General features: G+C 45.4%; 1 protein-coding gene across 4 annotated transcripts in view; it reads right to left on the bottom strand.

Moving 5' to 3' along the window:
• The window catches only part of SLC6A5 (solute carrier family 6 member 5), a 59,678-nt gene that overhangs the window by 19,196 nt on the left and 25,052 nt on the right, over positions 1-15,430 (bottom strand). For all 4 annotated transcript variants that reach the window (XR_007062528.1, NM_004211.5, NM_001318369.2 and 1 more), the window contains 6 exons: positions 13,248-13,382; positions 12,007-12,110; positions 9,275-9,399; positions 3,671-3,783; positions 2,787-2,918; positions 1,532-1,631 (listed from right to left, as the gene is read on the bottom strand). Coding sequence is in view for 3 of the 4 variants with exons in the window: in NM_004211.5 (NP_004202.4) it covers positions 1,532-1,631; positions 2,787-2,918; positions 3,671-3,783; positions 9,275-9,399; positions 12,007-12,110; positions 13,248-13,382 (709 nt within the window). In the remaining variant the exon portion in view is untranslated. The remainder of the gene's footprint in view (positions 1-1,531; positions 1,632-2,786; positions 2,919-3,670; positions 3,784-9,274; positions 9,400-12,006; positions 12,111-13,247; positions 13,383-15,430) is intronic.

Here is a 15,430-nt window from a genome sequence, read left to right as displayed (position 1 = left end):
TGGCAAGGTCTTTGGTTTCTGGGCACAAAGTTAAGATACGCTGTGGTGGATTTCACTGGGTTTCTACCACTCTCTGCTCAAGTAAAAAGCACTTTGAAGCCTCACCCTAACTCCGACAGCAGGTCTTCAATCACTGCAGGATCTAGGCGGTCTTATCAGCCAAAAGTGCTGGCAGCTTGGTCTCTGATCTCATCAGGACAGCTGGCATGCCTGCCCACCTCTCTTGCCAGGAACTAAACTCTCCCTGCAGTGGGGATGTGATCTCTAGTCTGAGACAAATTCCCCTTCTACTAATGCCCAAAATTGACTGCAGGTATCATCCTGTTTCTGGAGTACCAGGAGGTTTACACAGGAGGTTTCTTTTTCCATCTTGATTCCCACTCCACCCCCTTTATTTTAATGAGTTTTCCAGAAAAGCAAGAAGCTGTTAAGCACCTCTTCGGTGGAGGCTAACAATTACATTAAAAATAAGATGCTCATAACAGGGGTACCTGGAGGTTAGGGTGAGCTTTGCTGGGCCCCCAGTTTAAAGACCAGAGCTCTGCAGACCCCTCTGGCCTAGACCCCTCTTCCTTTGGGCTTCAGAGGGTACATTTGTCCCTCGAGCATATCCTGCATTCCAAATAATATCTTGCACTTCCTTTTAGCTTAGAATATGTTGCTGTCTCTTTTGGGATCTGAAGTGCAATTAGATAGTCTGAACTGGAAGTGTTCGCCTTCCTGATATTTGCTATGGTGGCCTTATATATATATTAGTGAGGCCTCAGGACAGTTCTGAGCAGGCTTCCAAGCAGAAAGAAGTCAGTAGGGCCTTGAATCAAATAGGACTTTCTTGAACTCACCGACAGTGCATACAAGGGACCAGGAGATGCCCTTGAAACCCCAAGGACAAACACCTCCACACAAAGGGAAAAGATGGCATCTGATAGCTCACCATTTCTGTTGTTGATAATGGCCCCACTGATATGGCATGCCGGTTGCTATTGTGACAGTAGGAAGGATAAACTGGAAGTCTATTCCTGGAAAAATCTGAGATTGAGATATTGCATCACAGGCTCCTATGATGCTAATACAATTTCCTAAGGATCTGTGAGCTGAGTGGTCTCTGTTCTCACTACAGTACCCAGGGACCAGCTACAAAGTTACCCCTCAATTCAAGCTGCATGGGTATTGAATACCAGGAAATAATTTCACGCCTGCAAAGTAGCCTCCTCCTTTCTGATCTGGCCATTGTTCAAAAGCATTAACTGTTCAAATGCCAGATCATACCCAAAGGGGTGTCCAAGTCCTAGGAATTTCTGATACAAAGATTTTTAAGTTTCGCCTTCAGCCACCTCTTGTTTCCCTATTAAATTTGGATCACAGTGGTCGTGAGGCAAGTTTAGAAACAAAAGTGCAGCTCTCTTAGGTTTCCTAAATAGTTGCAATTTAAGCCCTGTATTGTCTTATTAAGTATGGGAAATCTGCTTGCCATGAATGCCTTACCGACACTCAAGCTCTACTTCAGCAACAGGCACAGTGATTTCCTTACCATACACATAAGAGATCCCCACGAGCTCAAAAATGGCAATGATGACAAGGGCATAGGAGGCAGCATAGGTGTCCACAAGCTGAAACATGTAAATTCCACCCTAACAGGAGAGAGAAACAACCAATATCAAATGCGTCCTGAAGCCAGGCTGTCTCTTCCCACGTTTAACAGCCAGTTCTCTCAATCCTAAAAAGAGTCAGGTGCAAACAGGAGTCCATGCATCTCCCCTCCTCTCAGTAGCAGTAACCTACACCTGGTCCAGCATGTAAGCTGGAGGCCTTGCTGAGTCAGCAAAGCAGTTCCTCAACAGGCTCCGAGCTAATCAATATAACAAGCACCAAAAAAAGCGATTTAACATCTTATTCTTGAAAGGCAAAGGTCAAGGTCTGAAGAAGTATATGTGAAAGCAGCCAGATTGCTTTATTTTTGCTTTAAGCAATTGATCGTTTCCACCTATGTATCTGCATTCGATTGACCCTCCGATGACCTTTAGGTGTCTCTGGGTATTTCTCACACACCCCCACATTATCTCTACCTCAATCTTTAAGTCTCCCTACAGTAAATAAGGTGTAGAGACCTTCACATTCCAATCCATTATTTTACAGAAGAAGAAATTAAAGCCCTGAGTAGTTAACTTGCTCAAGGCCACAGAGACAACAAAAGCAATATATATACTGAGTAAGCTAACACAATTTACCAAGACACTTGGGACTGGAAGAAACTGCAGTGGCTGTTGACTCATACATGACATTAATCATCAGAAATTGTACCTGATTGGTAAATAAAGATTTTTATGTATTCTGTTTTCTTTTTCCTAATTTTTTATTTACTTTTTAGAGGCAGGGTCCCACGATGTTGCCCAGGCAGGAGTATAGTGGCTATTCACAGATGCAATCAGAGCACACTGCAACCTTGAACTCCTGGCCTCAAGCAATCCTTCTGCCTCAGCCTCCCAAGTAGCTGGGACTAGAGACATGCGCCACTGCACCTATTTTCTTAAAGTAGGACACACCTGCCTTGTTGGCTCAATAAGGCTACATCTCAATTATGAAGATACTAGAAGCATCACTGGTAGCCAAGATGACATATTTCCCTCTGCAGTCAGAATCCCTAATGAACTGGTGCCATCTACATGGAAATGGTAGTGATTTGCCTTTGATTATAAGGTCTGAGAGCTAAGGGTTGAAAGACAGATAGCTATTGGCCCCCCACCCTCCTGCCCCCACCCCAAGCCTGTGCCTAGGAGGCAGCTTACCTGAGTGATCATTGGAAAACCCATGATGAAGAAACAAATGCAGCAGCCCAGAGTAAACACTGGCTTGTGTGTGCGTAGGTACTTGGGAAACTCGTCTGAGATGGAGGTCACTATGGTCTCGATGGTGGCAAACTGGAACCGTGTCAGGAAATGAACATCTGAGTCAAATTGTACCACCCAGGAGGTACCCCCAAGCCCTTTGTATGTCCCATCCAGGAAAGTTGTATTTGTGTTAGGTTTGGTTTTTAGGATGGCATTCCCTCAATGGGTCTAAAAAGCCTCCTTGGGGTCCAACCCACAGGCAGCCAAGAGAACCCAAGCAGGATGTGAGCTTTAAAAATTGCACTTCCAACCCCCAGAGACTTGCATTCATATTCACCCATTAGGACAGTTTAAGTTTCACTTTGTATTCATGAGATGTAAATTCCTCTCCTCCAGTTTACCTTGCATTTGCTCTTCTACTTGAGGAAAAACCCTCTTTGCACCCAAGGACTAAACTCTGAGCACCTGTCAGCATGATCTGCGGTTGTCTCAGCCCCACAGCAATTTCCCTAAAATTGATTTCACATTATTCTTTATCCAGCCCTAAAGAATTTGCTTTGGCAAAATGACACGAAGGCAGGAGATACACAGGCTAAAAGTTGCCACATAGAACAGAGGGAGAAGGAAGGAGAGAGGATGACTCTCTTGCACCATTACATGAGCACCCAAAATACAAGGTGATCCTGAGCCCTACACAGGCACTTCAGCATCTCTAGATCTCTCGGGAGAAACATTCAGACACCCGTAAGCCTACCCCTCTCCTGAAGGGTGAACCCAGGACCCAGGAGAGGGGGAGTCTTCAAGAGGAGCATGGGATAGAGACTGATGGAAAAGGGGCTCACCATAGTGTCAAGTCCAAGAGTGAGGAGCATCAGGAAAAAGATGATGGCCCAGAACGGAGAGAGAGGCAGCCTGGTTAAGGCTTCCGGGTAAACCACAAATGCAATGCCTGGCCCTGGAAGGAACAAGACAGATGATTGCAGGCAGGCCCTACTCAAGGCTGCTCTTCCCAGAGCCCAGAGGGCCTTCTCTCTGCTGAGATCCTCATTTATTACTTCTTATATGCTGCTTCCACTGTTGGTTATTTTTTACTCATCTCTATCCATTTCCTCAATTAGACCTTAGGCTCCTTGAAGGGGAAGACCAAAGGAATTAGGTCAACAGCTAGGAGAACTCACAGGAGAGGCCTAAAAATAGTGTCTAAGCAGAGACTCAGAGGCAACTCTACTGGACTCCACGGCTAGGCTGTGTACCATGTACATAGGATCTTTGTATTGGATGAATTAAAGGAAAATGTAATTAATTAGCCTTTACAGCAGTAGTACTCAACCAGCAGTGATTTTGCCATGTTTGGGATATTTGGCAATGTCTGCAGACATTTTTTATTCTCACGGGTGAGCTGGGGGTAGGGGTAGGATAACTACTGGCATCTAGTGGGGTGGAGGCAAGGGATGCTGGTAAGCCTCTTACAATGCACAAGAGAGCTTCTTGCCAACAAAGAATTATCCTGTCTCAAATGTCAATAGTGCTGAGGTTTGAGAATCCCCGCTCTAAAAGTTGGAACATGACCAGAATGACATCATTTCTTCCTTTATTTATTTTATTAAGTTCTGGGGTGCATGTGCAGGTTTGTTACATAGGTAAACGTGTGTCATTGTGGTTTGCTGCACAGATCACCCCATCACCTAAGTATTAAGTCTGGCATGCATTAGTATTTCTTCCTTTAACTACCCTTCCTCCTATTTAGTCCTCCAGGAGAAAACATTCACATAAAATATGAATCTAACACTTTCAGGATCTTGCACTATTGGTATAAATGGGGCTACATCAGTCCTAGTAGTTAGTCGGGTTGCGGGGGGGCGGCGCATGAAACATCATGTAAGGGTTAAGAGGGTTCAGTCTCTAAGGGTTAGATCTGGTCCAAATCCAGATTCCGTGACTTACCATCTGTGCAACCCTAGACAAGTTATTTAATTTCTGTAAGCCTCAATTTTGTCCATCTGTAAAATGGGGACAAAAATAGGACCTCACAAGGTGGTTACAATAAACAAATGAGAAAACGCAGGTAAAACACTGAGCCCAGTACCCCCTACATCATCAACACCCACAGAATATTATCTTCTATTATGAGTGGACTATGAACTTGGAAGTTAGCGGTTCTGATTCAGGTTTTCTCTAGAACACTTCATGTGGTCTTGGTGGGGAAGTCTGAGCGGCAGTTTTCTCTGCTATCGTAAAGCTCTGCCAGCCATTCTCCCTGCCTCACGGTCTCACTGGGAAGATTACTGTAATCAAAGGTAGCTAAAGACACAGCAGTTGTGAATTTTCCTGTAAGTAGAAAACTAAATGATAATGGGCAGAGACAAGTGAATGTGGGCGCCGGGATAATCCACAGCCAGCACACGTCCACAATCAGCAATCACAGCACCTAGAATGTTTATAACTCAAGCATAACAGCACTTTTTTAAACTGGAATTTATCAGGTTGTTAGTTCCTAATGTTGCCTAGGGCCTTTGTGTATTTAAAATATAAAGCCTCAAATGCCAGAAATACCCCCGCTTTACGCATTTATTGAACAGACTGTAGAGCCAGCCTCTGAAGGCTCCCTATGTGAACCGTAAAAGAAAAGTCTGTATTAAACTAAAGTTCAAAATAGGTCTCAAATGCAGAACAACAAGGAAGTCAGTTTAATGTTCTGGCGACAGTCAGGCCCGTAAAGCCGACAAGAAGATCTTGAATGGCCACTACCAGAGGTCCTCAGCTGCTCACTTTAACAGGATTCTACCCTTTGGGCTTTACAGCTTTTTTAGAGGAAACAAGTGATTTCAAAATATTCAGTCTGCTTCCATTTCAGCTGCCTCCCTAAAGCACCCAGGTGAAGGCATTCTTTGCAAGCTAAATTACAGCAGACTCCACTTACCCAAGGCAGATGGGGAGCGGAGTCATCTAGAGAATAACATCGTTAGATGTTTAAAAGAGTATATGGCCAGTCTGATGAAGGCCAAGTTCTGCCTCTCTCCTCTCCCACTGGGAGGCAGTAGAGCCCAGTGGCTGGAGTACAGGCTCTCTTCCTCATGGATTAAAAAACTGGCAGCCAGGTGCGGTGGCTCACGCCTGTAATCCCCACACTTTGGGAGGCCAAGGTGGGCAGATCACAAGGTGAGGAGTTCAAGACCAGCCTGGCCAATATGGTGAAACCCCGTCTCTACTAAAAATACAAAAATTAGCCGGGCGTAGTGGGGGGCGCCTGTAGTCCCAGCTACTCAGGAGGCTGAGGCAGGAGAATGGTGTGAACCCGGGAGGCAGAAGTTGCAGTGAGCCAAGATGGCACCACTGCACTCCAGCCTGGGTGACAGAGCAAGACTCCATCTCAAAAAGAAACAAAAAACAAACTGGCTGTACCTCTTGCTAGCCGAGGACTTAGGGGGTCACTTGTTCTCTCTAGACAAACTTTAGTTTCTTTATCCACACAATGGAAATAGTAATAGTACCTACCTTTATAGAGCTTCCGTGAGAATTAAATGCATCAACACAAGTAAAAGGCTTAGAACAATGCCTGGACATACTATGAACTCAGAAAACATAGACCATTATTAGTCTTCTTATGAGAAGGGATCAAAGGGGCTCTTCATTTCAGTAACTTGAGCAGAGTCCCCAGAGATCCTACCATGAGAGCCTCCTTTATCCTAGAGTGCCACTAAAGACACAGCAAGGGGCTCTGGTCAGTGCAATGCATCAAGGCCCATGGCACAGCTTGGGTAGCCACTCTGCTGTGATAACTATTACAAATTGAATGAGCTCTCTGAGGATATGCCACCTGGACCTCTGTGCCTTTGGGCAGAAGGATTGGGATACAGGTGACAGACAGATGGCTGCATGGAAGTGGGACATCAGTGCTGTTTGAGAATGCTTATTTTGATTAGTAAGGTATCTGAACTATTAAGGGGCAAGGGAACCAAAGTAGTATTTCTAGTGCTCCGGTTAGCTGAGAGTTACCTACACCTGGGAATGCTAAATAAATATGCAAATTTCTGCTTATCTACTCTGGTATAACTCAGTGTTTCTGCTATTGGATAAGCATCTTTGTTTGGCTTCAGGATAGATTCTGAACATGAGTCACCGCTCCATAGGTGGTAATGCATATGGTGGCGAGATGGCTCTGAAGGGCTAACTTTCCTGGAAGCTGCTTTTCTAGAGTAGTTCCCCGAGAACATGCCCCCTTCCCTATGCCTATCATAAAAGCAAAACACAGCTTGGTCTCTTCACCAATCCCATCCTCAGCCCCTCAAAATTTTGATAAGACCAAGATTTAAGATGATCATTTTGGTAGAAATGCCTCTTTTAGAAGGGAGTGGTAAACTAAATCGCATAGTGTTAGGTCATTAAAGAGAACCTCTATTTGACTAAAGATCAAAACTTAGTTACCAAAGTTGGGTCAGCAAAAATGTCCTGAATGTCTATATGCCAGTGTTGCCCAGCAAGGAGGAAGTGGGGCTCAGGTTGAATGCAGGCCTGACCCCAAATCTCTGTCCTGTATTCTGCAGAGCCTCCATTATATCAAGGCAAGTAAGACAAGCCTGTAAAGCACATATAAAAATACATCCAGGTTCAGATGAGCAGGAAAGCTTCCCCAGTGGGTCTGGGAGAAGATCTCATGGGCCTTCTCCTGTGAGAGATGAGGCCCACCCGTCCCTGTGCCAGAGACAAGAATTAACACAACAGGTTAGAACCTGTTAGAAGTGCCCCTACCCTTGTTCAAATCAAAGGAAGTGAAAAAACATTGGAAAGGAGAAATTTCAGAGGAAAACATGGGCAATTTGTTGGCAATTTTACACACCAGATAAACAACATTCTGTTTGAGTTTTTGCAATATCTCCCCAGAAATCCGTTTCCTGGAGCAGAAAAGAGTTCAGAATCATTTACTAACCTGGCCCACATCTCAGGATTCACAGTCTCTAGCAGGTTGGCCACTGGTTCCAAAAGAACTCAGTAATGTCACAAAAAGCAAAATGCCTAAGATCTTCTAGAAAATGGGACAGAACCTATCTGCTCCAACCACTCTGCTAGGAGGAAATGAGGTTACAGGACAGCTGGAAGTGACTCCAGTACCTCTAAGGACAAAACCCGTTTACCCTCTCACTTTCCCTCCCTGCCTCCCAGGGTATCTGAGAATTCTCAACCAGGGAGAGCCATTGCTTATCTCCTGGGGCCCCTCTAATTTAGTGCATTGCTGCGGAACCAAACACCCCTCAGGGTTTTACACTCTCTCCAGGGAGAGATAATTGCACCCCTGGAAAGTGCTGGCTCTTTAACTCTTTGAGGCCCCTGGTGCACCATCAGCATGAATTGGCGCAGTAATGAATTATCCTTGGGGAGCCAGAAGAAATCTTAGTATCCAAGAAGGTGACATTTCCAGGGCTTAGTTCTCTCACCACATCTGAGCCATTATCTGAGAATTGCAGTCAGCTCCTTGAAGGAAGATAACTGCCCAGACAAGCCTCTCACAGGTACGCCCCTTGGTTGTCCAGGGCCACAGTCATGCCCCACAGCATGAGGCACATGACCAACACACTACGCATCCCATAAATGTCTGAATTGAGAATGAGATCATAATGGTAAACAACAGACACAATGAAATCCCTTGATCACTGAAACCTACTAAATATACAAATCCTTTGTGGAACCAGGCTGGGTGAAAATGAAGAGTTAAACTAAAATCTTGAATGCTTTCTCTGCAAAATGCTGTCCTAGTAATATGGATTAAGTGAAATAAAAATGAAAGCTCTTTGTCAACTTGAAAGCACCATACAAATGTTAGCCATTAATAAAAAGATCATTTGGGTAGAGAGTAAACATTTATTCCACATGCCTCTCCACCCACCCAGCACGATCCAACATTTCTACCCACTGGGGAAAAAAACTGCAGGTCTGCATTGCTAACTAAGCAGAAGGCCCTGAAAGCACATTTGACCTAACAATCAGAAAAGTGCTTTGTAAGGAAAATGCTCCTCTGAAGTCAGTTCTCTCACTAAGCCTTGGTTTCGACAGGGCCTTCTGCAATGAATGTCATCCTACAGCAGCCTGTGCCCACATCAGCTCCTGAGGCAATGGTTTGCCTAATAAATTCTCTACTCATACCTAACAGGTATAACCCTTATTTCTATAGACTGGAGCTAAATTAAGAGGGGCAAGGTAAGAGGAAGGAGAGGCAAGGAGAAGGAAAGAGGGCTTTTAAAGCAATCCCTCCAGTTAGAGACCAGCCAGTTCTGACTCTGCAGTGAGCTTCCTACTTGAGCCTGCCTTGGTCCCTCTGTAAAGAAGGACCTGGGCTCCTCCACCCTCTATCCTGTTCCAGAAGGCCAGCTTCCCAGCATAGTCTAAATTAGGAGCTTGTGACATGAGCCTGGGACCTGCCCTGCAACAGCAGGGTAACAACTGTCCTGTACCTTGGTCTGCCACATTCTCAATGTTGACTTTGCGTTCATTGGCCATGAAGCCGATAACGGAGAAGATGACGAAGCCGGCAAAGATGCTTGTGGCACTGTTGGTGCAGGTGACAATTAGAGTGTCCCTGGAAGGAAGAGACCAGAGTTTTCCATTAGGTGTGCTTGGTGAGTGGAAAGGGACAAGGGGAAGGACACACAAATGTGTGCCCACATGTTTGTCTGCACATGTGTAGGCATATACGTGTACGTTCATGTCCTAACCACAGGCTCCCTTGGGCTCACTTAAAAAGCACCAAAAGGCTCAGACGATATCCCCTAATAGCCCTGATTCAGGGCCTGTGGGCCAAAGCTCTGACTCCACGATCTATATAAATGGGTCTCAACTCATCTGCTGTGGTCTGAATCCCCCCATCTCAAATTCATTGGCTGAAACTTAATCCACAATTTGATAGTATTAAGAGGTGGAGGCTTTAGAAAAGTGATTAAGTCATGAAGACAGAGCCAACTCATGGGATTAGTGCCCTTATAAAATAGGCTGAAGGGAATGTGTCTGCCTCTTCCACCATATGAAGACACAGCAACAAGGTGCCATCTTTGAAACAGAGAGCAGCCCTCCAGACACTGAATATTCTGGCACCTTGAACTTGGACTTCCCAGCCCCTAGAGCAGTGAGCAATAAATTTCTGTTGTTTATAGCCAAAAGTCAGTTAAAGATACAAAAATATAGCTAGGTAGGAGAAATAAACTCTAGTATTCTATAGCACTATAGGATGACTATATTAACAACCATCCCAGCCGGGCACGGTGGCTCATACCTGTAATCCCGGCACTTTGGGAGGCCAAGGCAGGTGGATCACCTGAGGTCAGGAGTTCGAGACCAGCCTCACCAACATGGTGAAACCCCGTGTCTACCCAATACACACACAAAAAAAAAAATTAGCGGGGCATGGTGGCACATGCCCGCAATCCCAGCTACTTGAATTGCTTGAACCTGGGAGGTGGAGGTTGCAGTGAGCTGAGATTGGCCATTGCACTCCAGCCTGGGCAACAAGAGCGAAACTCCATCTCAAAAAAAAAAAAAAAAATCATCCTACAGCACTATGAGATGACTATATTAACAACAATTTATTTTATGTTTTCAAACAGCTAGAAGAATGAACTGTCAGTGTTTTCAACACAAAGAAATGATAAATGTTTGAGGTAGTAGATATGCTAATTACCCTGATTTGATCATTACACATTGTATACATGTACCGAAATATCATACTGTACTCCATAAATATGCATAATTACTATGTGTCATTTAAAAATAATAAAAGCAAAAAACGTATAAAGAAAAAATATTACTCAGTCTATGGCATTTTGTTAGACAATCTGAACAAACTAAGACATTATTCCAGGGGCAGAGGTAAATCTGTTCATCAGAACAGAAATTGAGGAGATGGGGCCTTGGTCGGCTCCAGGACAGGAACTATGTGTGAGGGAAGAGAAGGCAGTGGGAAAGTCAAATGACCCTAAAATGTGAGGGTAGCCTGGAGTTGGGACACACAGGGTTGAGAAGGACAAAGGGGCAGGGGAGGGAAGAGAGCCCAGTGTCTCTACCTTCATCGCAGAGCCTGCTGCTGGTAAGATAGCCAGGGTTTCCCAGTCTACCTTCAGTCATCCTAGATTCAAATGTGAGGTCACAGCTAGACGGGCTACACTGTAACCCAGGGCTACACTGAAATCCTGGTTCTCCTGCCTTTTAGTGGCATGACCTTGAGCAATCCACTTCCTTTCCACTCTGATTTGAAATGGCAGCAATGAGTCTATCTGTCATAGGCTGTTGCCAGGAGAGAATGAGATGATACCTGTACTATGCACCGCCTAGCACAGAGCAAGTGTGCAGCAAATGATCCACCTTGTCTGACCCCTTAGTTTACTGAAGAGGAAACTGAGGCCCAGGGAAAGGTAATGGACTAATTAATAGTGTGGGCCAGGATATGAATCTAGATTTTCAAGCTCTCAGCCTGGGTTATTTCTGCCACACCACAGCCTCATTTCTAATAAAGAAGATAGCAATGCTTCACCCTTTAATGGTGTTCAGACTGATTTGGGTCAATGGTTAATGAGCAGTTGTGACTAATGAAGTTTAAATACCATAGTCTGTTACTCAAGGTCATTTTGAACTGAATTGTGTCTTCCTACCACTCCCCTATCACTACCAAATTCATATTTTGTCATCCTAATCACTAGCATCTCATAACGTGACTGTATTTGGAGATAGGGCCTTTAAAGAGGTAATTAAGTTAAATGAAGTCATTAGAGTGGTCCCTGATCCAATGTGACTGATATGACTGGGGTCTTTATAAGAAGAGGAGATTAGGTCACAGCCCCACACAGAGGGAAGACCATCTGAAGGCACAGTCCATTGTATCCACAGACTAGGTAGCTCACAAATGACTGTCACAGAACACAGCCAACTGCACAGTGACCTGCAGACAAACTTGCTTCCATCCTGTAAATAGCCACTGAGCCTCCCCCATGTGTCAGAGCCAGGTGTGTAAGTGAGGGTCCAGGCCTTCAGAAGATAGTGCCTAGGCCTTAGCAGGTGGTTTCTCCTAGGCCAGAGGCAAATCTTTAGCTCTCCCTAAGATGAAATGTGAGGATGTGGCCTCAGGTGTCTGATAACTCAGTCCATTCTTCTGTCCCACTCACCAGCTATGCCCAGATCTTGTAGTACCTCTACATACCTGTAGCAGTTGTTGTGGAATTTGTTGTAAGAAGAGAGAGTGATCAGGCCTCCCCATGCAGCAGATAAAGAGAAGAAAATCTGAGTGGCAGCATCTTTCCACACCTGAGAGGCAAAAGGGAAAGAGATTCAAGACCCATGAAGGAGACTGGCGCCAGGGGAGAGGAGTCACACACCCAGTGCCATATCATGTTTCCAGGGGAAACATCAGGGACAAGATGACCCCCGACATCAACATCAATGAGAACATAAATCACTTGTGCTGGAAACCAAAGGCATAGTCAATTACCTGGGAGATTTTAACTTCCTCTATCAAAGGTGAGGAACTCAATAAACTACACTACATACCATGCTCATATGTTCTCTCCTGTAAAGCTAAACGGAAGGGAGAGTCCTTCCTTTAGGTCAATACACTCTCAGAAAATAATAATTTACAACAGAAAAATATAACAACGGATGCAAAATCAAAACCCTTTTTAACTGACATTTCTGCAGATTACAACTGCTATTAAATTTCTGAAACTCTGTAGCCCCAATCTCAGTAAAGCAACCTCTATGCCGCTGCAGACTTTATAGTGTCACGTCCTACCTGCTATTAAGTGGAGACTTTCTGTTTTGTGCAATCAAACTCAATCCTAGCTATGCAATCTTAACACATCCTGGAAAAGCAGAGTTTTCCTTTAAGGTGAGAAAATTCAGTTCCCCTTCAACAATCACCCCCTCATTTGTAGTTTTTGAATTGGAAATTTTAGAGTTAGATATGCCTGTACAGAATATGCAAAGACAAAGTTCAGCTTGTGCTGGCCCTGTGTGGGTGCACAAAAGTATTCAGATGTGTCTGAGCCCTTAAAGGGTTCAGGTAAAAATATTTTTAAAATAGAATCGCTTGTGGTTTACACTAAGTGCTGTTATTTTCCCACCAGCAAAACTACCCTTCCGACACTCTATAATTAGCAACAGATAAGTGATGTGAGTTGGCCCAAAGCTATTAAGGGGATTTCATTCTTCATTTTCGGCCTCTACTATAACCCCAGATGTAGGACAACTATTCCAGGAATCTAAAAACCCTCAGTTGTCCACTTCTCATTAAATATTTCCTGAGTGCATAATGTACCAAGATCATCAGGCTCTTATAAAAGCACACACTGGGATTCCCTGGAGGAGGAAGTCTAACCCTTTTTGCCCAAGCCTCCCAGAGGGCCACTCCCCCAGGGCTGGTTATAGATAAAATTAGAAGCCCACCGTGGCATCCGTGAGTTTCTCCCACTTGGGTGTGATGAAGTACCAGATCCCAGCTCCAGCTCCAGGCAGGGTGACTCCTCGGATGAGGAGGATCACGAGTACGACATACGGGAACGTGGCCGTGAAGTACACCACCTAGAAAAGCCATGGGCAGAGGGGCTGGAAGAAGCAGCCCTGCAGAGTGCACCTGTGCAGAAGGAGCATTGCTCGGGGAAGAGTGGGGCTGCGCATGACAGAGAGCACATCAGGGTAGTTGTCCCCAAATGCAGCCAGGGCTGGGGAAGCAGGGAAGGCACTGGGACCAAAGGTGAGTCAGAGAGAGCTAGAAATAAAGCCTCTTAGGAGAGACCCAAGGCTGTGGGGTGAGTCGGCCTACAGCCAGAAGGCTGGGGGAGATGTCATCCAGCCCAGCTGATGAGTACACAACTCCTTAGGGGACCACAGAGAGAAGGAGGGAGGGGGGCTCTGTGCCCATGCCCGCTAGAGCACCAAAATTCCACCATTAAAGATGAATCCTATTAGCTTAAGCTTTCCATCCCTGTTTATACACATACCTAAGTGAGGCAGTCCCATAAGGTCAGAAGAACATGATATTAGAATTAGACGCATTTAGGTTCAAATGAAACTGTACATCTGGCACTGACTAGCTGTGTGACCTTAGACATTTATTAAGCTCTCTGAATCTTAGTTTCAGTATCTGTAAATCAAGGATAATAGCACCTTTCTTACAGATAATCGTGAGGATTCAATGAGCTAATGCATGGATAGGACCTAGCATGGTGCCTGATTTATAACAGCAGGTCATTAAATGACATTAAGTTCAACAAATATTTATTGAGGGCCTCCTATGAGCTGGGCACTATGCCAGGCATCAGCTGCATAAAGATGAAGGGACTCCTAACCTAGAAGACACAAAGACAATGTCTGAATAATGAGCTAGGGAATTACACAGAGGGCACTATGGAAGTTCAGGGAAGGGCATTGTGCCCAACCTGGGCGTCTACTAAGACGTTCATGGAGATGACACTGAACTGGACAAGTGCAGCTTAGAGGAGGAGAGGCAAGGTGGGAAGGTGAAGGAAGCACATGGGCAAGGCAGGCGTGTGAGGCAAAGCTCTACTCACTCACTATCAGCACAGCATAAAGTTGAGGCTAAGAGTAGGGGGTGGGGGGCTAGAGACATTGGAGGAGACCACGTCATGGGAAGACTTGAATGCCAGCAAAAGGGTATTGCTGGATGCTGGAAAAGAGGGAGGGACCAGCGTCAAGAAACATTTGGGAGGCCGGGCGCGGTGGCTTATGCCTGTAATCCCAACAATTTGGGAGGTCAAGGCGGGCAGATCACCTGAGGTCAGGAGTTCAAGACCAGCCTGGCCAATATGGCAAAACCCCATCTCTACTAAAAATACAAAAATTAGCCGGGTGTGGTGGCAGGCTCCTATAATCCCAGCTATTCAGGAGGCTTAGGCAGGAAAATCACTTGAACCCAGGAGGCGGAGGTTGCAGTGAGCAGAGATCACGCCATTGCACTCCAGACTGGGTGACAAGAGCAAAACTCCATCTCAAAAGAAAGAAAGAAAGAAACATTTGGGAGGTAACATTAGCAGAACTTGGGGGTTAGTTGAACATGGTAGGTAGGAGGACCTTTCCTTCCGTACCTGTCCATCAAACCTCAAGGTGAAGGTAGGGCTTGGGACCAGGATTTGGCAGAAGCAGAAGGAGCAGTGTGAGAGCTCAGGCTCTGCAGTCCCACGAGCCTGGGTCCAAATTCTGACTCCAGCACTTACGAACTGTGTCACCAAATCCTGACTCCAGCACTCACTGAGGCAGCAACTTAACCTCTCTGAGTCTCTGACCCTCAGTGTCCACACCTGCAAAGTGGCAACAATAGTAGATTCTTCATGGGGCTATTGGAAGAGTACAGTGTCACTTACAATCCACACAAAGTGGAACAGGCCCAGGGCACTGGAAACAGAAGTACCATTTCACAGTCTGGCCTAGGACTCCCCAGTCCTCAACTTAATCACACTGACAGCGCTCGACTCACAGGTAGGCTACATTAAAAGTGCATTAAAAGACACTTGAGAGGCTGAGGTTAAGCTCCCATCCAGGCCCACTCTGGGCTCTCGGGATCCATGGGGTGACGGCTATTGGTTCAGGGCCACCTCCATTTCCACATGCAG

The sequence above is a fragment of the Homo sapiens genome, chromosome 11 (genome assembly GCF_000001405.40).
Source record: "Homo sapiens chromosome 11, GRCh38.p14 Primary Assembly".
In the NCBI taxonomy this organism is placed as follows: Eukaryota; Metazoa; Chordata; class Mammalia; order Primates; family Hominidae; genus Homo; species Homo sapiens.
The sequence above is the reverse complement of the archived record's forward strand: the minus strand, read 5'-3'. Positions and strand labels throughout refer to the sequence as shown.